The following is a 9,737-nucleotide window of genomic DNA, read 5'->3' as shown; positions in this document are numbered from 1 at the left end:
TACCTGCCCATCTGCATGCTCCCTTGAGCAGTGAAGCACCAAGGAAGTGAGCCACACCCCTGTCACACATCCTGCAAGGGGGATAAGGAAACACGCCCATTTCCTTATTATTGAGGGACTGTGAAGCTAAGGCTTTTCTACCCAGATCTGGAATAGCATTGAAGAGCAATGGAAAGGAGAACATAGATATCAGGATAGCTTTAGGTGGAAGAAGGGAGGCCATGTCTCTCAGAGACAGAGCCTAGAAGGACTGTAGAGATGAGACTCCCCAGAAATAAACCCAGCACACTGTAGAGTTTGGGAGGAGACTCTGGAGTCAGATCTTCTATTTACTCCAGCTGTGTCACTTATTTGCCTTGTGACATTGGACAGATTAATAAACATCTCTGTTCCTCCATGACCTTATCTGTTAAATGAATATGAATTATAATTGTACCAAATTCACTGTATAAGAAATGAATTGTTTTCATATGATTAAAATAGTGCCTGCCATACAATAAATACTTCATCATTATATAATTATGAAAATCATTTGTAACTATGCATACTTTTCCATTTTTAAGATCCACCATAATTTATTTACAACCTCCAGTAAAGTTTTGTTTCAAATCTTTTATGAATAATCATAAAATAAGCATTCATATATATAGTAATTAATATATACCTTCAGTGATATCCATTAATACTCAAGAAGTGAAACTGTTTGAAGGATGGAGGTGTTTATATACATTTCTATGAATATCGTCCCATTGGCTTTAAAAGAGAGTAAACAAATTCACACGCTCCTTTATGCCCACATTCATTCATTCATTAAGTAGTCATTAATTTATCTAGTATCTATTGAGCCAATATCTTCTAAACAGTGTTTCAGGTGTCTGGAATTCATTAGTGAGCCAAATAAAGTTCTCTGCTCATATAAAACATGTATTTTAGGGATGAAACATAAACAATAAAAATAAATGCAGAGAATTAGCAAAGTTGTTAGCCACTTCTACTTTCCAGTCAGATTGCCCTTGTTCAACTGTTGGCTCTGACACTTAAAAAGCTGTGTGACCTTGAACAAGATACTTAACAGATCATCAGTGCAATTGTTTGGTTGTTCAAATTGGTATAATAATAATATGGTAGGCTAAATAATGTCTTGACATAAAGAGATTAAGCTGGTGGGTTTCATGTAATCACAAGGGTCTTTACATTAGTGTTAAATATAGTGAACCCCAAGTTTATCTTCAAAGAATCAGTATGTCAGTATGTGCATCTATCTTATTGTTTGATTCTCCATTTTAAAGTTTAACTTCTTAATTCTCTTTGCCCCCTTGCTTCCAGTTTCAGTAAACAACTTTCTTACCAGTCCTAATAAATAGTTCACATCTGTTCCCCTGGTCACCTGCTTTGACCCTAGTCACCCCTGGTCACCTGCTCTATCCTGACTCATCCTGAGCCACCAGTTCTGTAACCGCCCTTCCCACCAAACTACTTACCCCACCACTCTGGCTCATACTCCTGCTGTTTTTTAAAAGAGCCAATTGGAATTAGCTTAGACTGTGCAGTCCAACAGACTGTGCAGTCCGACCCTAGCCAATGGGGGAGTGACACAGCAGTAGAGGCTACCTGCATCAGGAATAAGAACCTCTTCCCCTCCTCTGTCCAGGTGTGCTCTCGCCATTGTTCCATCTGCAAGGAGCACTCTTTCTGCAGAAGGTAAAAATTGTCTTGCTGAGAAAATTAAATTCATGTTCAAGTGCTATTTCTTTGCAGCACCAGGGAACAAGCATTTTGCATTTCTAACAATTTGGTGGCCCGTACAGGGACCTATTCTCCTCTGGGGGTAGTCTCCAGTCCTCTCTCCTAAGGAGGTGCCCTGCTGCCTCATTGCTGTGGCCTCAGCGGTGAGGAATTGAGACCCACCTGCTGTGCTGAATAAACCCGGACTCTCAGCAATGCGGAAAGAAACCGGCTGGTGACCTGAAGTAAAGGATCCTCACATACTACGTGGACCAGACAACCTCGTGCACAAGCCAAGGAAGGAAACACTGGAGGAGCTGGTAAAGTATTTCCTTGGTGGTCAAGACTAAGGAAAGAAAAAACACAGGGGCAATGAAGCATTCCTTGATTGGGACATACCAAGGAAAGAGAAGCTGCAGGGGTGGTAAGGCATTCCTTAGTTGGGACTAAAGAAAGAAAATCCATGGGGGGCAGTGAAGTATTCCTTGGTCAGGAGGTTAAAAAGAGGTGAGACATTTCTAGTAAGGGAAATTGAGCCTCATCCCAAAAGGCAAGACATTTCCTGTAAGGGAATTGAGCCTCACCCCAAAATGTGAAACATTTCTGGTAAGGGAAATTGAGCCTCACCCAAAAATGGAAAATACCCCAAGTAAGGTAAAGGATAAAGCTAACAACAATAATATTCCCCCTAATAATCCCCTAGGCCTAATGTTAAAATATTAGAAGGATAAAAAAAATCTTATAAAGAGAGAGAGAGAGACAGAGAGTCAAAGAGAGAGAGAAAGAGTAATAAAGTGAAAGCAACGTACCTATTCCTTTAAAAGCCAGGGTAAATTTAAAACCTGTAATTGATCATTGAAGGCCTTCCCCGTGACCCTATAACACTCCATTACTGCCTGTAAAGAAGGCAGGTGGGTCACACCAGTTAGTGCAAGACCTTAGAGCTATTACTCAGATAGTCCAAATTACCCACCCTGTTGTTATGATAATAGATTTAAAAAATGTCTTCTGGGCTTGTCCATTCACAGAGGACAACCAGGACCTATTTGCCTTTGAGTGAGAAGACCCTCACTCCAATTGAAAATAGCAATACTGATAGACAGACAGTCTTACCCCAAGGGTTTACACTCTCCAAATTTATTTAGTCAAATATTAGAACAAGTCATTTAATTAGCAAAGGTAAACAGCAAATTGAGCTTGAACAGATTGAAGGCATCATATCCTTGCCTCTGCCAGAGACTAAACAAGAGCTTAGAAAATTTTAAGATTAGTTGGGTACTGTCATCTATGGATAGACTCTTATGCCCTAAAAACAAAACCCTTATACAAAAAGCTCACACAAGATGGGCCCAACCCCCTCATTTGGCAATTACCAGAAATCCAACAGGTGGAAAGGTTAAAACAACTATTAGTAACTGCCCCTGTCCTATTTTTGCCCTCCTTAAGCAGCCAGTCCATCTTGTTTTCAGTGTAAACAAGGGCATAGCCTTAGAAATACTTACCCAAGAGCACGGAGGCCACTGACAACCTATAGCCTTCCTATCAAAAATTCTTAACCCAGTAACCCGCAGATGGCCCAAATGCATTCAGTCTTTAGCTGCAACTGCTTTGCTAACAGAAGAAAGTAGAAAAATAACTTTTAGAGGAAACCTCATTGTGAACACACCTCAGCAATTCAGAGCTATCCCAAGTCAAAAAAAGCAAAAAGGTAGCTTACTGACTCAAGAATCTTAAAATATGATGCTATTCTGTTAGAAAAGTATGATTTAATATTAACCACTGATAATTCACTTAACCCAGCAGGTTTCCTAACAGGGGATCTAAATCTTAATTAATTACCATACAAAGGCCCAACCAGACCTAAGAGGAACTCCCTTCAGGATGGGATGACACTTATTTATTTATAGGTGGTGCCACCTGGGTGATTGAGGGAAAAAGACCCAATGGGTATTCAGTAATTGATAGGGAAACTCTTGTAGAAATGGAGTTAGGAAAGTTGCATAATAATTGGTCTGCTCAAACGTGTGAGCTGTTTGCACTCAGCCAAGCCTTAAAGTACTTACAGAACCAGGGAAGAACCATCTATACCAATTCTAAGTATGCCTTTGAAGTGGCTTATACATTTGGAAAAAAAAAAGTTTAGACTGAACGAAGTCTTATTAATAGCAAAGGATAATTAAAATCCCAAACTTACAAGATTTTCAACAGAAGTAAAGTTAGCTACAAGTTAACAGTGTAACATGTATTATCCTAATTTCCAATCTTGTGGCCTTAGGCAGTCTAGTGCCCGGACATGAAGGAAGTTCACTTTGGAAAAGAACAGTTATCATCTTTGACAAAAAAAAGGGGGGGAGTGGAGAATTTATGTAAAAGAAATGTTATATGGTAAATTCTTGTCCTAAAATAGATTAACTGGTTGTTTAAAGAAAGTGATGTTTACAAGTCAGAAAGTTGAGGCATGTCGAAGACTGTCTGTGAAAGTCATGAAAAATGCTATAAAAGGGAATTTATGCAAGAATTGTTGTATAATTTAAAAGTAATTAGGCCTCCTGAATGTAAAATTATTGAAGAAACAGTTTATGTGCAAGGTGTGTAAGGAAAGTAAAACATACTTTTGGTAAAGGAGTTATAAGGAGGCAGAAGAATGTGAATTTTTACCTACATTAAAAGGTTAAAAAAATTGTTTTGAAGGTTTAAGCAAATTTTGAAATGTTAATTGTAAAGGAAATTCTGTGTGTAAACATATTGCTAAAGTTAAAGGGGTATCATACAGTTTTTCTGTGAACTGGACATTAAAAGCATGACAGTTTTTTTTAAAGCACTAAACTGCTCTTTAACAAAAATTATAAAGGGTTAAAAAGAGTCTGTAAAAATCTTACCTTATGGTCAGACATTAAAATTGGATAAATAATGTCTACAAGGTTTTATAAAAATTGAGTTTAACATTAATAACACACTAATATAAAGGTAAAATTTAGCTTATCTGGTATAAAATCATACAGGAAGCACTGTCAAATATAAAATGACATTTGGCTTTCTTTGGTCTAAAAACCAATAAAAATAGGTGCTAAAAAAAAATTCAGAAGGAAAAAGGATATTGCTAAACCAGAGAAAATTGTTATCCAAACCTCTTATGAGGGAAATCCTGTTCCAACTGCATTGAGGGACCCATTGGGGACCCCAAGGCATGTGTGATGTAGTTCTCAGAGTTTATAGGGGTATAGAAATTTACACCCTGGCGAAAGTTACAGATAGTTGCTTAGCATGTAGGAAAACTAATAAACAAGCTATAAAAACATTACCCCTCAGGGGAAGGAATCCAGGCTTAAGGCCATTCCAGAATATCCAGATTGATTGCATAGAGATGCCTCCAATTAGTCATCTAAAGTATATTTATTAGTAATAGTAGATCACCTTACTCATTGGGTAGAAGCTATTTCCTTTTCAAGTACAACTGCTAATAGTGTAGTCAAGGTATTAGCTGAAAATATTATACCCAAGTTTAGATTAATAGAAAAGATTGATTCAGATAATAGGACTCATTTCACTGCACATGTCATTAAGAAATGAGCCCAGGTTGCTCGGCACAGTGGCTCATGCCTGTAATCCCAGCACTTTGGGAGGCCAAAGTGGGTGGATCAAGAGGTCAGGAGTTTGAGACCAGCCTGACCAACATAGTGAAACCCCGTCTCTAATGAAAATACAAAAATTAGCCAGGCGTGGTGGGGGGCACCTGTAGTCCCAGCTACTCGGGAGGCTGAGGCAGGAGAATGGTGTGAACCTGGGAGGCAGAGATTGCAGTGAGCCAAGTCATGCCACTGCACTCCAGCCTAGGTTGAAAAAAAAAAAAAAGAAATGAGCCCAGGTACTGGATATAACATGGGAATATCATAATCTCTGACACCTACCTTCATCAAGGAAAGTAGGAAGGCCTATTACCCTGTTGAGAGTCTGAACTGCTCCCTGAAAAGACATAGGCCTAGCCCTGTATGAGATGCTTTATGGATTGCCTTATCTACATTCTACTACTGATTTCTCTACATTTGAAACAGAAGATCAGTTTCTCAGAAATTATATACTTGGTTTATCTTCCACTTTCCCTTCCCTCAGAACTAAAGGTCTTTCAGCACAGGTGCCACCCCTAGCATTTCCAGCACACCAGCATCAGCCTGGGGACCACGTCGTTGTCAAAAGTTAGAGAGAAGGAAAACTTGAACTGGCAAAGGACCTTACCTAGTGCTCCTAACTACCGAAATGGCAGTCTGGACAGCAGAAAAAGGATGGACCCATCACACCCAAGTCAAGAAAGTGCTGCCCCCTCCAGAGTCATGGGCCGTAGTCCCAGGAGAAAACCCTATCAAACTAAAGATAAGAAAAATTTAACTCCTTTCATCTATTCTGTTACTCCTTCTTCTTTCCTTGCTCTATTGCTGACTACCTAGTTATTAATGTAACCAAGTCAATTTTGCCTCAAACTATTACATTTGATGGTTGCCTTGTTATACCCTGTGGAGATTTGCCAAGTTAGGGGCAACTCTCCACTTCAGAAAACTATCTTTATCCTTCCTAGCTCTCCTCAGACTAAAAATCTGTTAACTGGGATAAGTTAGTTTGAGAAGAGTTTGATGAAGATTCCAGTATAAACTGGAAATCTTGTCCTCCTAGAGCAGAGCTTCTCTGCCAAACTTGGCTCAATGCTCTATAAAATACTAAAGAGCAAGGATGGACCACACTAACTAGTACTTGCAGTTTCTTAAAACCATATATTCATTTTACTAAAGGAGCTATCCCTCCCCACTGTCAGCTAAACCAATGTAATCCAGTACAGATTACCATCTCTGTTCCCCAGAGTTCTTCCCCTTCATTAAACCATTTCTATGGTATAGGAGCAGAAGTCTCAGGATCCTTTGAAATGTGCTTCATTTCCTCCTCACTTCCTGTACCCTTTTCTCCCTCTCCTAAGTTCTCCTCTAACCAACATTCTCTTGTTATATACCCAATGATAAAACCAAACTAGTTGTTGTAGAGGTTAACTATTTAAAACAAACTATAGCAATTGAAACAGGGTATCAGGATGCAAATGCTTGGCTGGAATGGATAAAATATTCTGTTTGCACGATAAACAAAAGTGACTGTAACGCTTGTGCGATAGGCAGGCCAGAGACCCAGATTGTTCCCTTTCCACTTGGGTGGTCCTCTCAGGGACCTGGCATGAGCTGTATGGTAGCTGTCTTCCAGAACCCCACAGCCTGGGGCGATGAGTCATGCAAGGCTCTTTTACTGCTGTTCTCTGAGGTTAAGAGCCCTGTGGGTCAGCCCTCAAGGGCCTTCTGGCCTCCAGCCCCTGATGTTAACTTCACCTCATTCCTTTCACAGCAGGGGAAAAAGTTAGCATTCCTTGAAGATTTAACAGGGTGCAGTGTAACCAAGCCTTTCCAAGAGCTTACCAATCAGTCTGTCCTTGTTCATCCCTGAGCATAAGTGTGGTGGTATCATGGGGGACTATTGCTGGATACTCTGCCAAGTTATTAGAGCAGCACTTGTGCTCTAGTCCAATTCACCATCCCTTTCACTCTAGCATTTCATCAACATGATTACAAAAAAAGAGAGAAAATCATAAAAGAAGAAGTGCCCTATATGGGTCCTTTGACCCCCATGTTTATGTAAATGCTATTAGAGCTCAATGAGGAGTGCCAGATGAATTTAAAGCCCATGATCAAATAGCTTCAGGATTTCAGTCAATATTCTAGTGGGTAAAAATTAATAAAAATGTAGACTGGATGAATTACATCTATTATGATCAACAGTGGTTTATTAACTACACTAGAGATGCTGCTAAAGAAATAGCAATGCAATTAGGGGCTACTAGCCAGATGGCTTGGGAAAATAGAATAGCCTTAGACATTATATCAGCAGCAGAAGGAGGAGGAGTTTGCATCATGATTAAAACTCAATATTGTACCTTCATCCCAAACAATACTGCCCCTGATGGAAGTATAACAAGGCATTGCAAGGTCTAACTGCTCTGTCCAATGAGTTAACCAAAAACTCAGCGGTAAGTGACCCCTTTAAAAGGTGCCTAGAAAAATCATTCAGTAAATGGAAAAAAAAAATCATAGCCTCAGTTCTTACTTCTCTCACAGCCATAGTAGGCGTATTCATTCTTGTTGGGTGTTTTGTCATACCATGCATCCGTGGGCTGGTTCACAGACTCATACAGGCAGCACTTACTAAAACCTCCCTTAATTCTCCTCCACCTTATTCAGAGAAGCTTTTTCTTTTAGAGAATCATGCAGAACAACTAAGCCAAGACATTTTAAGGAAGTTTGAAGAGAAGGAACTGTAAAAATTCAAGATGAAGAACTGTTAAATATAGTGAACCCCAAGTTTCTATTCAAAGAATCAGTATGTCAGTATGTTCAGCTCTCTTATTGATTCTCCATTTTAAAGTTTAACTTCCTGGTTCCCTTTGCCCCCTCCCTTCTAATTTCAGTAAACAACTTTCCCACCAGTCCTAATCAGTAGTTCACATCTCTTCCCCTGGTCACCTGCTTTGATATGACTCACCCCTGGTCACCTGCTCCATCCTGACTCATCCTGAGCCACCAGTTCTGTAACTGCCCTTCCTGCCAAACTACATGCCTCACCACTCTGGCTCATACTCCTGCTCTTTTTTAAAATAGCCAGTTGGAATTGCTTAGACTGTGCAGTCCAACCTAGCCAATAGGGGAATGACACAGCAGTAAAGGCTATCTCCATCAGGAATAATAACCTCTTCTCCTCCTCTGTCCAGGTGTGCTCTCACCATTGTTCCATCTGCAAGGAGCACTCTTTCTGCAGAAAGTAAAAATTGCCTTGCCGAGAAAATTAAATTTATGTTTGAGTGCTATTTCTTTGTGACACCAGGGAAAAAGCATTTTGCATTTCTAATGTAAGGGAGATGTGAGAATAAGAGTCAGTAGTAGGAGTAGGAGATGTGACAACAGAAGCAAGTGTTTGGAGTGAAAGAAGGAAGAGTTCATGAGCCAAGGAATGCAGGCAGCCTTTAGGAGGTGAAATAGGCAGGAAAACAGATTATTCACTACAGTCTCTAGGAGAAAACAGACTTGACATCTACTTGATTTATCTCACCTAGGGGTGTTTGCCAGCACCTCTACTAACACTACATTAATACATTTGCATTTCCCAATGAAGAAGGTTGAAAGGTATAATGTATAATTTCCATTTGGATCTTCCCATTAATGTAATACTCATTTCCACTTTCTCTTCTATTATCTCTCTCAATCATTTCCCTATGTTTCTATCACCTTAGAGGTTTTGCTGCCATATTACTTGATAGGAAAATAACAAGTTTTAATACAAGATGTGTGATATGAGCCCAATATTGTAATAAACATTTAACCCTATATGTATGTGTGCATAAGTTACATATATGTGTGTGTATATATATATATATATGCATATATATAAAATGGGTAAATACACATAATGTACACAGACATATATAGATGTTCATGTACACCTGTATCCACATATTATCTTTAAAACGTATTCCAAAATGTAAGTAACTTCTTCTGGGAGATGAGCTGTGAGAAGCATAACAAATTATGTTACTTCTTATTTCTTACATTTCAAGTAGAAGACAGGAAAAGTGGTGAATATAATTTAACATAAGATACTTAGTTGTCTATTCTTTGGAGATGACATGAGGCTAATTATATTTAGGACCATAGCATAAAATTATCATCCCACTTATGTTAAAAGTAAAATAATGTAGGAGAAGCTGAGAGAGATTAAATCTTTGTAATTCTTCTTAGAAATTTTGCCCAGCCAAGCATGGTAGCTCATGCCTGTAATCCCAGCACTTTGGGAGTCCGAGATGGGTGGATCACTTGAGGTCAGGAGTTCAAGACTAGTCTGGCCAGCATGGTGAAATGCTGTCTCTACTAAAAATACAAAAATTAGCCTGGTATGGGGGTTGGCACCTGTAATCCCAGCTACTTGGGAGGCTG

The 9,737-nt window shown here is 39.3% G+C and overlaps 1 long non-coding RNA gene across 1 annotated transcript, besides 1 other annotated feature; it reads left to right on the top strand.

The window, feature by feature from the left end:
- Positions 1 to 1,650: 1,650 nt before the first annotated feature.
- LOC107984256 (uncharacterized) lies at positions 1,651 to 6,281 on the top strand. The gene is made up of 3 exons (XR_001747556.2): positions 1,651 to 1,701; positions 1,809 to 2,045; positions 5,836 to 6,281. It is a non-coding gene; the product is annotated as an uncharacterized LOC107984256 (long non-coding RNA).
- Positions 7,571 to 8,770: an enhancer, noted in NCBI's record as "P300/CBP strongly-dependent group 1 enhancer chr10:96750996-96752195 (GRCh37/hg19 assembly coordinates)". NCBI's record gives its function as "activates an origin of replication core promoter dependent on BRD2, BRD4, P300/CBP, MED14 and CDK7 cofactors, with strong dependence on P300/CBP, by STARR-seq in HCT116 cells {active_cell/tissue: HCT116}" and the evidence as "EXISTENCE:reporter gene assay evidence [ECO:0000049][PMID:35650434]".

Source organism: Homo sapiens, chromosome 10 (assembly GCF_000001405.40).
Source record: "Homo sapiens chromosome 10, GRCh38.p14 Primary Assembly".
In the NCBI taxonomy this organism is placed as follows: domain Eukaryota; kingdom Metazoa; phylum Chordata; class Mammalia; order Primates; family Hominidae; genus Homo; species Homo sapiens.
The sequence above is the reverse complement of the archived record's forward strand: the minus strand, read 5'-3'. Positions and strand labels throughout refer to the sequence as shown.